Source organism: Homo sapiens, chromosome 8 (assembly GCF_000001405.40).
Source record: "Homo sapiens chromosome 8, GRCh38.p14 Primary Assembly".
Lineage (NCBI taxonomy): Eukaryota > Metazoa > Chordata > Mammalia > Primates > Hominidae > Homo > Homo sapiens.
Genome location: NC_000008.11, coordinates 115601076 through 115620905, shown reverse-complemented (window position 1 = coordinate 115620905; position 19830 = coordinate 115601076). Strand labels below are relative to the sequence as shown.

The following is a 19830-nucleotide window of genomic DNA, read 5'->3' as shown; positions in this document are numbered from 1 at the left end:
GTGCTCCCAGTGGTGGAACAGGTACTGTTTTCACCAGGCTGCATATGGACACCCAGAGCTTATTAGGTTCCCCAGCATGCTGGACAGAGTCCTAGGAAAACCTGATCTGACCACTGTGATGCATAGCAGGTCTTTCTTCTGACTTTCAGGCAAGCCCCAAATGTGGCTCAAAGAAATTTGTTGGTAGGTCAGAGCTGGAACGTTTGTCATCCTCCGCTTCCTGAAAGTGATGAGGCAGTTTTCACTCTGTTTATAACATAGCTGTTTCTGTCTTTTTGACTATGAAGATATTTTGTTTGAAACTATATTTACATCCCGGTTACATAGGGTAACAATATCGAATTCCAATTTATGTTATTTATGTATACATATATGTACCATATAAATAAATGTGATGTATTCTATAACCATAAACACATATATGTATTTTATAAACATAACATGTGTACATGTTATATATAATATAGACCATATATAAATATATAAGCATGCATATATATTGTTAGCTACAATCAAAGGAAGAAATTGGGCAAAAATATATTTTCAGGAAAGAATAAGTAATAGGGAGGGTAAACCTAGTAATAAAAATAAATCCTTCATTATTCCTAAAACCACCTTAAAATAATAAATGAGCCAGTCTTGGTTACAAAAGTAATTCTAAATGTAAATTGTTTGTTTTAGTCTCAACTTTTTGCTGTTTTTAGAATGGGTTTTTTTTTTTTTCCTAGAGGAAGCATTTGATTATGCACCTTAAAAAACTCACATAAGTAAAATATTCCAGATTCAACTGTATCTCTGTAACTTTCAGATAACACTGTATCTGCCTTTTCCCTTTATCTTTGCAGATATGGTCCGGAAAAAGAACCCCCCTCTGAGAAACGTTGCAAGTGAAGGCGAGGGCCAGATCCTGGAGCCTATAGGTACAGAAAGCAAGGTATCTGGAAAGAACAAAGAATTTTCTGCAGATCAGATGTCAGAAAATACGGATCAGAGTGATGCTGCAGAACTAAATCATAAGGAGGAACATAGCTTGCATGTTCAAGATCCATCTTCTAGCAGTAAGAAGGACTTGAAAAGCGCAGTTCTGAGTGAGAAGGCTGGCTTCAATTATGAAAGCCCCAGTAAGGGAGGAAACTTTCCCTCCTTTCCGCATGATGAGGTGACAGACAGAAATATGTTGGCTTTCTCATCTCCAGCTGCTGGGGGAGTCTGTGAGCCCTTGAAGTCTCCGCAAAGAGCAGAGGCAGATGACCCTCAAGATATGGCCTGCACCCCCTCAGGGGACTCACTGGAGACAAAGGAAGATCAGAAGATGTCACCAAAGGCTACAGAGGAAACAGGGCAAGCACAGAGTGGTCAAGCCAATTGTCAAGGTTTGAGCCCAGTTTCAGTGGCCTCAAAAAACCCACAAGTGCCTTCAGATGGGGGTGTAAGACTGAATAAATCCAAAACTGACTTACTGGTGAATGACAACCCAGACCCGGCACCTCTGTCTCCAGAGCTTCAGGACTTTAAATGCAATATCTGTGGATATGGTTACTACGGCAACGACCCCACAGATCTGATTAAGCACTTCCGAAAGTATCACTTAGGACTGCATAACCGCACCAGGCAAGATGCTGAGCTGGACAGCAAAATCTTGGCCCTTCATAACATGGTGCAGTTCAGCCATTCCAAAGACTTCCAGAAGGTCAACCGTTCTGTGTTTTCTGGTGTGCTGCAGGACATCAATTCTTCAAGGCCTGTTTTACTAAATGGGACCTATGATGTGCAGGTTTGTACTTTGTATTGTCTCTTTGTACAGAAAAAGTTATTAGAAATGAAATGTGAATTCTTATATTCATGTTAAAACCAAGGTCCCAGTACCAGACAGGTAGCCTGCTAGATCTAGCAGAAGAGATGGACACACTCCATAGCTACTTCATACAAGTATATTCAGAGTTGTCTAAAGACAACTTTTAGCCTCTTATTGTGGAAAACAATCCTAGCATTTTTTTAAATTTGGGAAAGTCTTTTCATGGAATTAGCTAAGCTTCACAATTCTGGGCATATGTCATGGTAATTTGATGTTTTCACAGTCTTCCAAAAATGTTACTAATCTTTATGGTTGCACATGATAATAATTCATGCCTTGTTCCAGTTTTAGATTATAAGGCTTTTGCTATAATCTTTCTTTCAGTGAGGATATTTCCTGTATCTTGGATTAGGATTTGATTTTATATTCATCCTGACGGTTCATATTGATGGTTGCAGAGATAGTCCTGAAAAGGCAAAATAATTGCAAATGAAAACTGGGATATAACATTTTATGTTGATTAGAAAGAAGTAAATGTTATTTTAAGTATTAGGGACAGCAGAATGACCTTGGTAGGGGCCAATAAAGCATTCCTTTCTGCATTTAAGGAAAATGGCAATAATTTATGAAAGCATTTAGTAATAATTTAGATTTTTACTTTTATTAAAAACAGCCTACCTTTTTGTTCTATCTTTCTGTCTTTAGTTTATGGCATATGTGAAATGGAAAAAAGAAACTGTTACCATTTTGAATAGAACGAAACATGGAACTGAGTCTAAATAAATGTATACATTTAATTTTAGTAATTTTAGCATAGTCAAAATTCATGGTCAGCTTGAGAAAGTGTATTAGTTTTTGTTACAGTTTGTAGATTTTTATTGTATTATAAGGCCAGGGGGATTTCAAAACATATTAGCTTTACTAGTAACTTTTTTTAGGAATGATTAGAAGTACCCAGAGAACTAATGAAATAAATCCCTTAAAATATCAGTCATTTTTATCCACTTGATAGCTACAGCTCATTTGTCTCAGACCTCTCTATTGACCTAATACCAATTAAGAAAAGCAGGCAAAGAGGTTGTAAATAACAGGTAGTGAACATATTTTGCAATACTTGTAAGAAGAATCAGAAGAGAAATTTCCTGGTCCTTTAAATGTCAGAATGGCAATCTTATCACTTTAAGGGAGATATAAAGAACTCTTAAAACACCAGTTTCATCTTGGTAAAGTTCTCTAAAAATTCCATCTTAGTTTGTGATTTTCCACAGATAGAATTATTTCTGTGGAGCAGCAAATTAACCCAACATAGTTATTATGCATGAAAGCTACATGCTTTGAACTGCTGTCTATTAAAGATCATTTCACTGTCTTATGTCAGATACACTCTGCTGTCAAACTATGATTGGGAAGCAAATACTTGTTTTAGATAAAAGGGTTGGAAGTGAATAATGTCAGTATGTGAAACAGTGTTTTATAATTAGCAAGTAATATGAAGTTAATACCTGGATTTCCGGCAGGCGTTTCAGTCTGTTCACTCTAGGGACAACTTCTGAGGGAAGCTGATCTAGGCTGTCAGGGAAAACTCTAAAAACGAAAATTACTAAGGCCTATAGTTTGGAAGAATTCAGATTTTTAAACACACTTCCATTTCCCCCAAACAGTTATTTGTTAGGTTCTTAGTTATTTATAGTAAAGTTTATGTTTGGGTAGAAGGAGCTGGACACTTTTCCTGGGCAGTGATTTTAGAAGTAAAACAGATGTGTGAGCTATCTGAGTTTGAACTAATAGAACTAGAAATAAAACAGCTGATCCTAGACTATGCTGTCTGCTAAATCCTTGCAGCACACACCGAGGAAGACAAAAAGTGGTAGGAAAGAGCATGCAGGAACATAATCTTGTTAAGATAATTTTTTTCCAAGATAAATAATACTGTTAAAAATAGAAAAAAGTAATCTGTGGCAACAGCGCGTGATTATTTCAAACAAACAATTGGATTTTGAAACGCATCTAAAGGGTTAACTTCAATTTGTGAGGATAACACTGAATATACTTGTAGATCGAATGCTAATCTTGAATGCTTTGCACATATGCCAGATACTGCTGCAGAAAAATGTCTGAAGATAAGTAACTTATTAGTATCTTCATGCTGAAATAAATATTGAACAGTTTTTCTATATGCATAAAATGAATAAAAACGCATCTGAAATTTCCTTTTATACCAACAAGTTTATGTTACTGAAATGCTATTTGAGAGATTCTTTCCTTGGTGGTTAAACTTCGTGGAGGCTAAAAGCTGTGGGAGATAAAATGCTGACTATAGAATTTCTTTAATGTAGTTTTGTCAGAAATATATAGTAAGTTAATGGCCTGTGTGTATTCTGATAAAAAGATGTTGGTAAATATGAGTATTACAGACAATCGTTCAATTTTAGGAATTATATATAAGTCCATAATTTAAGCTAATTGAAGTAATAGATGAAGAATTCATTAATCCTTTTCAATTAAACTTGCTTTTTAAAAAACATTCAGAACAGTTGGTGGTTAATGATAGATTTATGACATTTTAGGCCAAAAAAAAAAAAAAAGTAACAGAAGCCAAAAGCAAAACACTGAAAGAACTCTATGGCTTTGATCTATATTTTGGTTTGACATGGATGGTTTTAAATAATTTGAATGGACTTGAGAGCAAATATGAGATATACAGTTGGGAAAAGAAGTACATAATTTAAACAAATTCGAAGATTTCCCGGTTTAAGTGCAAGTTATTTCAAATATACTTGGAGGAATAATTGAAATTTAGACATGCTTGTGCTGATAATATCCACTTTTGTATAAATTAGATCACAAATGACTAAGTCAAAGAATTACAACTTTGTAAAAATACTGCCAAATAACAATGTTTCTTTGTGCTGCATAGAAGATAGAGCCCCAGCCGGATAATGGAGGTCACTGTAAATAGCCATCAGAAAGCCAAGACTGTCCTTTCTGAGTGTGGCATTTATCAGATTCTCCCCCCAACACCTTGAGGTAGCATGCCCAGTCCTAAAAGCAGAAGACATGTAAATTCTTTACCAAGAAAACAAGAGAAGCTATAATGGCTAGCTTAGAGCTAATTGATTTGACCAGGATGTTAGTTTTCCAATTTTTCATTTATCCAGCATGTTCTATCAGTTGTCATGCTTAAATTTGTAAAAATCATAGATGCAGCATGATTGGTTAGCTTTTCATGTAATATTTACTATCTGTATTCGGCCATAGAGGCTCACATGGAGACCAATAATACAAGAGATCGAGTTCTTAAAAAAGTAATTACAGCTTCTTTCTTTTTATTTTTTTCTTTTTCTTTTTGGAGATGGAGATCTCACTCTGTCACCCAGGCTGGAGTGCAGTGGCATGGTCTCAGCTCACTGCAACCTCCGCCTCCCAGGTTCAAGTTATTCTCCTGCCTCAGCCTCCCGAGTAGCTGAGATAACAGGTGTGCACCACCACGCCCAGCTAATTTTTTTGTATTTTTAGTAGAGACGGGGTTTCACCATATTGGCCAGGCTGGTCTCGAACTCCTGACCACCCGCCTCGGCCTCCCAAAGTGCTGGGATTACAGGCGTGAGCCACCGCGCCCTGCTAGCTTCTTTCTTTTTAATCTGCTTTATTATGCTTATATTTAAACCATTACTGAATGGAGGCCTGCATTAACAACGCGGCCTTTGCTGTTTCATTAGGGTGTAATGCGCTGTGCATTGGGTGTTTGCATCATCTTTATTGGGGAGCTTTTAGCCCTCAGATCAGGTTATAAAAGTAGGAGTCTTGTCAAGTTGTGCTTCCCACGGGAAAGTGTTTATGCTATCCCAAGTTCAGATGCTTATGATATATATGTTGCCTTTTCATATTAGTGAATTCTTTTTATTACTGCATTATTCAGGACTTTAAGAAGGTAGCTACTGGTTTCCAGCTATTAAATTTATTTTGGCCCTTAATGAAATTCTAAGGCTAATAGAAGAATCACATGATTAACTTACCAAGTACTGTCTTATGTTTGAGCTAGGAGTGTTACATTTCTGTGTTGTAAATATTTTTATCAGAGTTGCACAATATGTCATGTTAGAAGCAGGAAGAACAGATTTTAGAGAGAGGAAGTCATCCTTTGGATTTGTATTTTCAACAGATTTAATTGTATGAGTTTATAGATCTTTAACATGTATCAGTACAATCGTTTGAGCAGGGGATTACAGTTTGGTTTGAAAAAAAAATCAGAGACCATTAATCTTACTGTGGTTTATTTTGACTTGTCTTGAATTTTACTTCTAAACATTTATTTTTTGCCTTGGCATTTTCTTTGATCTGGAGTAGGAGGGAAGTTGTAGATCTTAGCAGGTTCTGTTTCTTTGTTTTTCTGAGTTGAGGACAATTGCAGTTTAGAAAAACTGGTGAATGAGACTTTTATCAATTCAGACTGTCTATAGAATACAGAATGTTTGGCATATGAACCCACACTTCTTTTTCAGGACTGTGTCTCCTTAACAAGTAATAAAGTGTGCAAAATAAGACATATGCTCACCTCAAGGCCATAAAGCAAGGCAAAGTTCTGGTATTTACCAGGTTATTTTCATCAGTGGAGATGGCAGAGCTAAATAATGTAGCCACCCTAGTAGAATAGTTCAACTATCATTACTAATCCCTTTACCTGCATGACAGTTAAATCTTTTTTGGCCTTGTTCATGACAGTTGGTATCATCTTTGATTTTTGGTTTATTTGTTATCATTTAAAGGAACATGTATAATTTTGTTGAATATCAGTATTTTTCTCTATGCAGAATGTTTAGGAGAATAAATTGTGGTTATCAGTGGATTCAATCAAATTTAGCATTATTCAACTCCTAAGAAAATCTTTTACCTCTCCTATGGCCTGCTCTGCTAACCATCTCAAGTCAGGAGGTTACTCAGTGTTTTTTTATTTCTTGGATCATTGTAATTACAGCATACGTGCAGCTGTTAGAAACACAGATATACAAGTAGTGTGCCAATACGGGGAAAGTTTGGAGAGAGAAAGTTGTTCTGTTTCATTTTCTGATTTCCTTTGTAGAGTCTGATTCTGACAGTCATTAGACCATAGATGTCTTGAATTCTTCATCAGGCGATCCACATTTGAGGCAAATGTTATACGTTTTCAGAATATCATACAAACCCTTGTTTAATTTTAATTGAAAGTCAAATGTAAAATTTATTTTTCTGTCTTACATTTAAGTTGATTCATACTTCTTTCATCTTTTAGTTTACATAATCAAAATTTGTACAGATCCCTTATTTTTTTCCAATTTTGGATTCACATCTAATAATAGCTAAAATTTACTAAGGGTTCTTATGTGTGTATGTGGAGCTCAGTTTTTTACATGTATTAATGAACTCATCTTCATAATAGCCCTAGAAGTAAACACTAACCTTATGTCCATTTAAAAAAATAAGGAAACAGCATATATTAAAGTATCCTGCCCAAGATCACAGAGTTGCATAAGTAGAGAGAATGGGATGTAAACCATGATAGACAGGCCACGGAAGCCTGTCTTCACAACCACACTGATATATGGCCTGGCCAAACATGAGTCTGAGTTTACTGCCAATAGCAAAGCAATAGAGGGTAGGCCAATTGCATGTAAGGGAGGAGATAGAAGACATAAATCAGAGCTCTTTGATGCAGTCTCTCTGAATGAGGTTGATTTTGGGGACTTGGGTGATTTCTTTGAGATTATCTGCTATCTGCTCCGTGTAGTGTAATGCTACCTTATTTGAACTTACTAAGCTTCTATTCGAAATCAGTAAAAAGAAAATTAAATTTGCTGACTCATCTTTTTAAAATTACAGTGATTCCTTTTCCCTGGTACTTTTGCTGCAGGAATTAGTTCTGGTAGAGCGAATAAGGTGCAAATTTTGATGTAATCAATTAAGGATGTAATGTTTGATCCCCAAATTAAGGGACATTTCATCCAGGTGTTTGACTTTTTTTGTACTCCCCTCATTTAGAGGACTTTGTTTTAGGAATTTATTATTTAAATGATGGTCTGAAAGTTGTCTTATGCTCTTCTAGTTACCAGGCACAATTTAGGTTGTTTTTTTTCCATGCAGATTACATGTTAAGGAGATACACTCCATTCCCATTTATGTCCTCCAAGGCTGTGTAATTAAGGTTTTATCCTCCGCCTACATTCAGTGCAGGAATGGGTGTGGAAGCAGAGAACAAATCAGAATGCCTTTAGAGTGTCCAATTTGAGTGTGCTGGATTCTCCAGCTGTGCTTGGAGCTGTGTGATTTCATTGAATTCAGAAAGCAATAGACGGGTGGGACATAGTGAGGAGTTTGGGAATTCACAGAGTCTCCTGGCCTAGCATTTCTCCTTTCATGTTTAGTTGAACTGTTGATATAAGATTAAAGAATGCCTGCATCCTTTCATGTGTCCAGGAACATATCTGGGAATCTTATAATAAATGATGGTTTGTTCCAAGACCTGTTTTTCCAGCTGATGGGAAGCTCCACCTTGGAATTCATTGGCACTTCAAAGTCAACATATGTAAAAGTGAAGTTCCCCACAACAACTTTCTTTTTGCCTCCTTTCTTCTTTACTCCTGTTTTCAGCTAAGTCAGGCTGGAAATCTTGGAGTTACCTTGGATTTCTGTTTGATATCACGCCCCAAACACTTGAGCAGTGTGTCCCATTGTTCCCTTCTTTATTCTTTTACTGTCACTTCTTTCAAGTAAATCCTTATTGATTTCTTTTCTGTTGTTCTAGCTTTATCTTCCCTTCTTGTCTCTTCCTTTCCCTTCTCTTCTCACCTCCTATTCTTTCCTCCTCCTCCTCATCTTCCTCTCCTTTCCTTTGATTTCTTTTTTGTGCTCTTTCTTGTCTTCTTCTGTTTTTATTTCCTTCCTCATTCCTTCTTCTTCCTCCTCTCTTTGGCCTCTTTTTCTGTTCTTTTCTTCTGTCCTCCTTCTTTTATCTTCCTTTCTCCTTCTCTTTTTTTCATCCTCCTTCCTTTCTCTTTTTTTCTCCCACCCTCTCACCTTCCTTTCTTTCTTCTTTCCTTTAATTTTTAAAAATTCTGTTTATTGATCAGTTGTCCTACATTTTATAGCAAGTATGGGACTACTTCTGTTGAAAAGCATATCATCTAATTATACTTGCTTATGTAAATATCAGCTCTCCAATAAGACATTAACTTTCCAGATTAAATCTCACTATTCTTCCAGAAAGGATAATAGTAAGAACAAGGCTAGCACATTTATATTACTTATTACATTTATATTACTTATTACATAGCAAGCACCGTTATGTACCATATTCCATTTAACGATTTGATAATGCCTCGGCCCTCCTCAGTATTTCCTGAGAGCAGCTTGCATTGTCTTACTCTCGCTGTTGATTTTACTGGTTTTGTTTCCTTCACCTGAAATGCCCTTTCATGATCACTGCCTTTGAGGCTAACCTTCACATATCAGCTCATCTGTCCACAGCTCAGTTGTTACTTCTGGGAGCCTTTGCTGACTCCTCAGTCTGGGTTAGGGGCTCTTCCTCTGTGTTGTCATGGAACCTGTTACATGTCTCAGCAGAAGCATGTTTTCCATTGTTGTTGTCTTTTTAGTTGTGAGCTTTTTGTGCTAAACCATAGACATGTTACGATTTTTGACTATGTCATTCTTTTTGTATTTCCAGTGCTTGGCACATAGTAGATGTGTTAAAACAGCAACCTTCCCTGGAGGAAGGATGTTCTATATTTTCGGAGATTAGATTTTCTCTTTTCCCATTAAGATGCTCTTTAGAATACATGTGCAATTCTGACATATCTCCATTATGAACCAGCAGCACCTGCAGGTTGGATGCTGTAGAGGAGTGCTATGGGGAATTCACTTAGCTTTGTAACCCACTTGAACTGCATTTTGTCTTGTTTATTTTTCCTATAAAATATTGTCTTCCAATTTATTAAGATGGACTTTTTTTTTTTTTTTTTGATATGGAGTCTTGCTCTGTTGCCCAGGCTGGAGTGCAGTGGCATGGTCTCGGCTCACTGCAACCTCCGCCCCCCAGGCTCAAGCGATTCTCCCACCTCAGCCTCCCGAGTAGCTGGGATTACAGGCACCTGCCACCACATCTGGCTAATTTTTGTATTTTTATTAGACACAGGGTTTCACCATGTTGGCCAGGCTGGTCTCGAACTCCTGATCTCAGGTGATCCGCCCGCCTTGGCCTCCCAAAGTGCTGGGATTACAGGTGTGAGCCACTGTCCCCGGCCTATTAAGATGGACTTTAAGATTTATTGGTACTCTGTCATCTGAAATACCAGATAATATAGAAAAATTAATTCAGAATTATACTGAGTAAAATGAGAAAACCAGTTTAGGGTAAACTGTTTATTGCTATTATGCAAAAAGCCAATAATAAAAATCTGCATAATGAGGAATATGCAGTATTTTCTTCTTCAATGTGCCCAGTGTAGGAGTTTGAGTTTTGGTTTCCCCTGTACCCTCCCCTGCCGTTGGTTGGCTCTTGTATTATAAATCCAAATAAGGGAGTTGTTACAGTGTCACTGATAGGAATAAACCTCAGAAATAAGCTATGGATGGCATGAGAGTCAGATGATGCCATATAATTTGAGTTGTTATTGAGATTCTGAAACATTTATTCTCCATCAAAAGTATATCACTGAAGCACACTCTATATTCTAGAATGTTTTTTTGAAGCACTATACATGCAGAAAAATTCCCGATGTATATAAGCAGATTAATTCTGGCTGTAGTTATTTTCCGCTAAGATCGGCCCTTACAGACTTTTTTCAAGTTATTCGAAATATCAGTATTTGAACAGTGATTTTTTTTTAACAACTTAGCTTTTTATTTTTAAGCTTTTACCTCTTTGACTATCAGCCCATAACCTCAAGTTCTCTTAAATTAGTACCCTTATAATTGTCTCTGTTGCTATCAATTATAGTACTTGAAAATGAACCACAACTGAGAAGAGGTTTGTGTTTAGTTCAAACAACTCTTTCTTTGCTGCGTTGAAAATAAGTACATGTGTTGAAGTGTCATTTTAAGAGCTCTGAGGCTTTAAGAAATATTTTCCTTTGACATATTATTTTAGATATTATTCTTGTTAGCTTTTGCTCCATATTATTGGGAGGAAAGAAAGAAACTGAGATTAATGACCTTGAAAGAAACCAACCCTTTTATATTCTTCACTTCTACGGTAAAACATTTTTGTGTGTGTGTAAAAAGACATATGTAAATAAATTATAAATGAAAGCCATGGAAAACACTTCATGGAAGGAATAGTTTTTAAAACTAGGGCTAAAATCAAGTATAAAAAGCCATGCTAGTCCTTAGTCAGTGAAAAAGACTTTAAAATACTCTTTTTTGTGCCTTAATTGTTTTAGGTGTTTTTATATAACTTTAATTCACAATCAAAGGACTCCATAGTCAGTCATTTGCTTGTGGACAAAAGATGCATTTTGTAGTTTCTTGAAGAAGGCCATGTATGCCAGGTCAAGTCAGTGGTGAGGGTGCCATGAAGTACTGTGGCCAGCGAATCTCAGGTAACTCAGGGGCCTTGGTGAGACATTTTCATCTGCTTACATCTCCCTTCGTTCATTCATTCAGTCAAAATGCATTGAACTCCTGCTTTCTTCTAGATGTGAATAAGACTATTCTTGTAGCTCAAGAAGGAATATAAACAGAAGTATTATCTTAGTAACAGCAGATTGAACCTTTGCATTTACAGCTAAGAATATTGATAGTGACAAGTGTGTGAGTTTGTCACTGAATGAATTTACCACTTCCCTTCTATGTAATCTCTTTATCCCATTTGCAGGAAAAATTTACTTGAATGATTCATTTTATTAAATAATAATCCTACCTATGCACATGTTACTGTTGAGTGTGCTATCTAATATGGTATTCCCTAACAAAATGTGGCTATTTAAATTTTAGGCTGGGCATGGTGGTGCATGCCGTAATCCCAGCATTTTGTGAGGCCAAGGCAAGTGGCTAGCTTGAGCCCAGGAGTTCAAGACCAGTCTGGGCAACATGGCAAAACCCTGTTTCCACAAAAAATACAAAAATTAGCTGGGTGTGGTGGCATGTGTCTGTTGTCTCAGCTACTCTGGAGGCTAAGGTGGGAAGATTCACTTGAGCCCAGGAGGCAGAGGTGACAGTGAGCGGAGATCGTGACATTGCACTCCAGCCTGGGTGACAGACTGAGACCCTGCCTCTAAAAAAGAAATTTTTAAAATAAATACATTTCAGTTAATTACAAATAAATTAGTGAAATGCTGAGAAAAATATATGAAAGTAAATTTAAAAAACAGTTCTTCATTTTTACTAAGCCTACTTGTGGCTAGTGGCTACCATATTGGCCAAGGAAGGCTATGGAACATTTTTATCATCTCAGGAAGTACTATTGGACAGCACAAATCCATAGTTCTCACTTGATCCTCACGATAATCCTATAAAATGACAAGTTGTACAGTATTGTATCCATAGAGGCCAGGAGACTAAGGTTCCAAGAGGTTAAATAATGTATCTTTTCATAGAACTTGAGCTAGAGAACTTCCTCTAGAAGCAAATAAATACAGGCAGATGTAAATACAAATAAATAAAGGGTTTTATCTACAATTTTTAAATCTTACAATGTAAGTATCTTGAAGGCAGAGATGTTGTCTACCTCTTCAATATTATATGCCTAATATCTATTGCAGAGTCTGACACAAGCCGAACACTTAGTTACTACTAATTAGAGGGATAAATACGTGTAGTTTTTGGCCCAAACAGAAATTACAGTTTAATATAATTGTAAAAATTTGGATGTCTTTACCAAAGGAACTGCTGGGTTTAAAGGGTTATAATTAAAGTTCTGGTTAGTAAAAGAAGGAAGTTTGAAAGCTCTGCTCTCTATTCTGCTTGCACTCTCTTTTTAGTATAGTCACAGCTAAGAAGCAGTAAATTTTCCTACTCCGTGATGGATTCAGCCATTTGAAAAGTTTGCAATATTCTATGAACGTGTAGGCACTGTTTCCAGACAATAAGTTTCAATAAACCATTGCTGAAAACACTTATTTTGCATAATTGTTCTCACTGTGTATTTGTTTTTACCCTAGAAAAGAATAGATTTAAAATAGCATAAATGGGGCATGCAAATAAAATGAGTATGGTCAATAGACACCAGTAGTGTCTCCTAAAATAATAAATTATGTTTTATTGTAGAATGGCATTTAAATGTTGTATGTCATCTATATTTCGCTATGACTTGAGTGTACATCTACCAGTATAGAAAGTATAAAAATTGCCACAAATAGAGCTTTTAGGTGTTCTTTTTGAAATAAAAAAGGAATAGAACACTGTCATTATGTTTTCCAAAACTGCGTTTTAAAATATGTGATTCTAATATTATATTAGCTTTTAATAATATATAATACTAATATTATTTACCGATATTAACCAAAAACGCAAATATGTGACCTATAGAAGTGTCATTATTGTTCTTGCCATTAAATGAGATCCGTGAGTTTTCATTTTTTAGCTTGGCTTTTGAAAGAGCAGTCAATAGTATGAAGGTATTCATTCTTCAGCATAATTAAAATATATAGCCCTTAAAAGCTTCTTAAATAATGAAGTTGGCACATTTTCCCTGGGTTTAACAAAAAAAAAAAAACACATCTAGACACGTACACCAACTTCAAAGACCTAACTCGTTTTTTATAGCTTAGTTAATCCTAAACCAAAATGCTTTACTGATAATTTTTCACAAAGTTGCCTTCTTTCGTAGTCCCTTCTCCTGATAGTATTGATTCGTAGCCTGGGTTTTCTGACTTCTTAGGTTGTTTTTAAATAACAACAACCTTTTTAGTATGTTGGGATGCTTAGTAATAATTTAAATCCACTTCAGAATCATATGTTTAGGGATTTCTTAAGTATATGTATGCTCTTTGTTCAACCCTTTCAGTGTGGTCATGGCACATGAGGCTTAAAGATTGCAAAATCAAAGAAATAGTGATGATGCCTGGTGGTTTCTTGGGAATCTTGGGTCAACAAGCAGAAGTTCAAAGCATTTTATAATAGGGAAGCTTGGCAAGGCAGATGCAATGTGAAAGCTTAAACAAGAAAATTTTTATCTCTAGATTTTGCATACTTTCTTTCTTTGCCTGTGTTAAAGAAGGGGATACATCTGAATTTATCCCTTTTGAATCAAGTTTAAGTTCCGGAACAAAGAACCTGATTGATGGCTATCCATTTAAATATATATATGTATTTTTTTTTTTTTTTTTTTTTGGCAAATGAACCTTCTCTTTACCTCCAGTGAATTGGGAAATATATGTAGAGATTTTTACAATATTATGAATTATATTTCAGTATTATGAATTATATTTCAGTGCAAGTTTTAGTTGCTTTAGTCACTTAAATGCTAGATTAGAGTGTTCTGTGCTGTATCCTTGAGTGTATGGCTTTGAAACCTCTCACACCATTGAATGATTGTCAGGTTGCTGCCTGGAAGGGTGCCCCATTCTTAGCTTTCTGGCTGGTTGATGCTCTGTCATTGACAGACTGAAATCTATGTGATTGGGGTTCTGGTTATAGACATTGCCTAATGTGAAATATTACATCCTTTGATTAAAGGCTGTGGAAAACTTCTGTAAGATCCTATCTTAATGTACAGTAAATGTTGAGTTGTTTATATATTAATGCACATTTCTTAGAACTATAATACTGGACATAAATTTGGAGGTTGCCCCAGTTGAAGAAGCTATTGGCCAGAGAGATTAAGTAATTTGATCAAGGTCACATCTCTTTTTAATAGCAAAAAGAATACTTCAATCTTAGTCCTGTACAATAGAGGTACAAACATATCTCTCAGTGTACTACAGCAATATTATTTGCATTTCAAATAGAGCCTTTACGTGATTTTGAGATGCCTGAGACTTTTCTCATGCAGTGATTTGGATATGAACAGCGATCACACGTGTCATTTTTGAACAGCTGTTGAAGAAGGCAGAAGATGATTATGCCACTTGCTTAATATATTACATCTGGTTGCTGGGAAAATTTAAAAATTCCCTGGTGGTTGGAAGAGAAATTGTTTTCCCTTTTTGGAGTATTTCATTCAAAAAACTCTATTTTAACTCTGAATTTTGGCTGCTCAGTGGTGGCTTAATTGTACTGCCTATTGAGGTGCACACTGAGAATGGAGGAAGGATTTTATGCAAAGTGCCCTTTGAAGGCTTTCATAGTCCTGATTCCATGTAATTTCATAATTTGGGAAAGAAAGCAGAGTTGTAGTGATTTTTTATGGTGGAATTATTTTATTTTACCATTCAGACATCATGACCTACTCATGTGAGAAGTTGGGAGCCCTTTGCAATGAAACAGAACCTTAATCAAATAAGGCATGGAAGATTTTTCTTTTTTTTTGTTTGTTCTAGATGGGGAAACATTCAAAATTCTTTATTTACACGGTTCTTCTTTGCTAGTATTTCCTGCATACTCAATTCATCTTTTTGTTTGTTTCACTGTGCTTTAATTATAAGCCATTTTGGGTGGTCATTGGAGCACCTTTATTTTACCTAAAACAGAGACCTCATCTTTGCCTGCAGCCTCATTGCTGTAGGAACTGAACAGAATATTTCCTTGGAGAACATCTGCATTGAGTAATTTTTGAGCAAGTGCCTCTAGTTTTGACAGTAACGCTTCACCTTTTGAAAAGAAATCCCATGTGATTTGGATGCTTCTGTAGGAATGTGATTTGAAGGAGGCAATAGTAAAATGTACTGTGTTGAAAATTGTTTTCTTAGTTTAAAAAATGTATTATTAAGTCTTTCAAATTATAGTGCATTTATTACTTACCTTCACCTGTTACTTTGGCCTACAGTGTATAACATAATGAGCCTCTCAAAGAGTAGCTGTTGAGAAATGAAGAGTGAATTTATTTGGCTCTGATTATTCAAGTGATTTCATAATAAGCAGGAGTACTATTGTATTTTTTGATGTGGAATACTTGGCAGTACCCTCCCCCTCCCCTGCAGAGGGCCCATTGAATTAATGACACCTTGGAAGTAAAGTCCATTTCTTCTGTTCTCCAGGTGACTTCAGGTGGAACATTCATTGGCATTGGACGGAAAACACCAGATTGCCAAGGGAACACCAAGTATTTCCGCTGTAAATTCTGCAATTTCACTTATATGGGCAACTCATCCACCGAATTAGAACAACATTTTCTTCAGACTCACCCAAACAAAATAAAAGCTTCTCTCCCCTCCTCTGAGGTTGCAAAACCTTCAGAGAAAAACTCTAACAAGTCCATCCCTGCACTTCAATCCAGTGATTCTGGAGACTTGGGAAAATGGCAGGACAAGATAACAGTCAAAGCAGGAGATGACACTCCTGTTGGGTACTCAGTGCCCATAAAGCCCCTCGATTCCTCTAGACAAAATGGTACAGAGGCCACCAGTTACTACTGGTGTAAATTTTGTAGTTTCAGCTGTGAGTCATCTAGCTCACTTAAACTGCTAGAACATTATGGCAAGCAGCACGGAGCAGTGCAGTCAGGCGGCCTTAATCCAGAGTTAAATGATAAGCTTTCCAGGGGCTCTGTCATTAATCAGAATGATCTAGCCAAAAGTTCAGAAGGAGAGACAATGACCAAGACAGACAAGAGCTCGAGTGGGGCTAAAAAGAAGGACTTCTCCAGCAAGGGAGCCGAGGATAATATGGTAACGAGCTATAATTGTCAGTTCTGTGACTTCCGATATTCCAAAAGCCATGGCCCTGATGTAATTGTAGTGGGGCCACTTCTCCGTCATTATCAACAGCTCCATAACATTCACAAGTGTACCATTAAACACTGTCCATTCTGTCCCAGAGGACTTTGCAGCCCAGAAAAGCACCTTGGAGAAATTACTTATCCGTTTGCTTGTAGAAAAAGTAATTGTTCCCACTGTGCACTCTTGCTTCTGCACTTGTCTCCTGGGGCGGCTGGAAGCTCGCGAGTCAAACATCAGTGCCATCAGTGTTCATTCACCACCCCTGACGTAGATGTACTCCTCTTTCACTATGAAAGTGTGCATGAGTCCCAAGCATCGGATGTCAAACAAGAAGCAAATCACCTGCAAGGATCGGATGGGCAGCAGTCTGTCAAGGAAAGCAAAGAACACTCATGTACCAAATGTGATTTTATTACCCAAGTGGAAGAAGAGATTTCCCGACACTACAGGTGAGGCATGGGGGGTGGGGTCGGGAGGAATATACAAATAAAATAATAGAAAAAATCCATAGAAAGAGGGCTGAACCGGGAATTGTTGAGAGTGATTCCAATGACTTGGGGAAGTTATAGGAGAAGACCACATAAAAGTTCATCACAGATTTGCAGGTGATATAGTTACAGCTGTGATCACTGTAGATTTTAATTTGGTTCCTTCTTTTGGACTGTATGCTCATGTTTCATACTTGTGTTATACCATTTACTGATTGTCTTTTTAAATTCACAGTGATTCTAATAATGCTGATGAGTTTACTAATTTACCGTAGTCCATTTATTTATCCTTACTAAATATGACTCCACATCCTATATTTTTTTGACAGAGCTAAATGAAAGATGCTATTGTAAATATATCCTATTCTCTATTCTGCAAAAAAATTTTGAGAACCTGTTGCTCATTTTTATTTTAAAATGAGATTATATATTCTTCTGGCTTTGAACAATTCTGCAACATCCTTGTTTAGCATACAAACAGTAATCTAAAGGTGAGAATTTTTGTACTATGTGTGATTTTGGATGTAGACTTGCTCCTCCAAGCAGGTAAAACTGCTTGAGTTATTCCAGATTCTTAAATGGATGTGGGAAGTTTGTGTTTTCCTTCTGCTTTCACTCTATTCTCTTTATAAACATTAACTTTCCCAGTTAATCTTTTATAATATCTAGAGATAAGCATAGGATATGTATCTTTATTTCATGTATGCATTCATTCTTTAATTAATTGATTTCAAAAATCCTATTGTACCAGGCATTGAATATACAAGAGAAGACATAGTCAGTGCCCTCATGGAACTTACAGTTTAGTAGGGAAGATGAGACACTTAGATGATTACAAGAGTAATAAGTGTCATAAAAGATGAAGTACAAGGCAGTGTGTTTGAATATAATGATAACATAACCTAATATGGTAGATTAGGAAATTACTTCCTCGGGAAGGAGCATTTAAACTGAGACTTGGTTATAAATAGGAATTAGTTCAGCAAAGCATTGGTGGTACCCTGCGTTTAGGTATTATTTAGTGCTCATTGGGTACTTTCTCATTATTATGCCTTTCAGCATCAAAGTAGAAAGCTTTACTTACTATACCAATATGCTAGTCTAAAAATCTATTCAATTTCTACATCCCATGATATTAAACAGTTTCTTCCACTCCTTTTAAAAGTTTTGTGTTAGTGCAAGTGTGTGTATGTTTTTTCAGTCACCAGTAATGAAGCAGTTCATGTCCAACAATAGGCTCATAATGTTAGATGTTAATTTGAAGGGCATCCCAATGTTCACAGTGAATCAAAATGTTCAGAAAACACTTACTTGAGATTTACACTGTTTAATTTATAAGGTCAGCCCTGGGAAAGACACAGTCCTGCATCAAATATGTGTTCACACTTGCAATGAGTGTTTCTGGCTCCTCTGATGTTAGCTGCATGTTAATTTATTTCTGAGGCTCGCAGACATCAGCTGCTTTCTGAGCTTTACTAGCGTGGATATGTGTGTATGTGCACATTGTGCATGTACATGTGTTGAGTGATGTAAAAATCAGATAGTCCATTCTTTTTTTGAAAAGGACAAGGACAACTTTTTTTTTGAGAAATCTTCATGATTTTCTTTAATCATGAGGAAACCAGCCAGAACACACACACATCTTGGACCTGCACACCCACGTATGTGCGCACACACACACACACGCACACGCACTCATTCTGATACATCTAGATACCAGCTCAGTTGGACAAGTGGTTTTTCTATTGATGCAGCTGAGGCATTGCTTGAGAATGTCTGGGAAAACAGGGTTTTCACATGCTTTAGGTAAACAAAATAATCCCCCAAGAAATAAAATATGAATAAAACTATTACTGAATAATGTCAGAATTTAGTTAATATTCAGTGATGAAAGTAAGCTCTAGAGAAAAGAGAACTATTCTTTTCTTGTTCACCACTGTATCTGCACGATTTAACACAGTGGCAGGATGCCTAATGGGAGTTCAATGAGTATCTTTATGTAAATGAGATCCCTGTGAGTTTTTGACTTCACAGTAGTTATGAATAAGCTGAGATTTCCAGGTGAGTTACATTTTAATGCTTCACTATTATATGGTCTTGGAACCCTTCTGAGGACCTAGGCTTCCATGCCAAATGACAGTTGTCTGTTCATTTTGACCTTAAGTCAACTTCTCAGCATTTTATTAGCTAAAAATTGAAATAGCACTTGTCCATAGGGCATTAAAATATTCTTGCACTTATGTTTAAATCCTGATATAGTTTGGCTGACCAGGGATCCTTTAAGGTGCTGAGTAGTTATCTCTAATCTGTTTCTGAGTTCTTATAGAGATATTTGAAATTTGGAGCCTTACAATTTCAGAAGTCACAGCTTAGTAGAAAAGATAAAGAAACTCGACTGAAAGCTGAACAGTAATAGTGGCCCCAGAGATGTGAAAGAACATAGTCACGTGGATGTTTAGAACTTGATCTGCTATCAAAGCATTTTCTAAAAATGCTCCCCTTTTAAGATAAAATAAGAGGACAAGTTTACCTTATCACGTAGTATCTTTATAATTTAATTTGTTTACTCAGATTATTCATGTTGGGAAACTTCTGCCATAATTCTGTGTTATTTCTGTGAAATATTCTAGGCTTTTGAGTGCTTTATATAGAAGACTTAATGGTGTAGTAAAAATTAGCATAAGCCATGAACTGTATAATATGTGAAATCATTTAGCTATAAAATGACTATAGCTGAGAAGCAGAAGAGTTTATCTAG

The 19830-nt window shown here is 36.3% G+C and overlaps 1 protein-coding gene across 4 annotated transcripts in view; it reads left to right on the top strand.

The window, feature by feature from the left end:
* Nucleotides 1-19830, top strand: part of TRPS1 (transcriptional repressor GATA binding 1) — a 260480-nt gene that overhangs the window by 48070 nt on the left and 192580 nt on the right. For all 4 annotated transcript variants that reach the window (NM_001330599.2, NM_001282903.3, NM_014112.5 and 1 more), the window contains 2 exons: nt 846-1774; nt 15904-17033. In NM_001330599.2, the coding sequence (NP_001317528.1) occupies nt 848-1774; nt 15904-17033 (2057 nt within the window). In that variant the 5' untranslated portion in view covers nt 846-847. The remainder of the gene's footprint in view (nt 1-845; nt 1775-15903; nt 17034-19830) is intronic.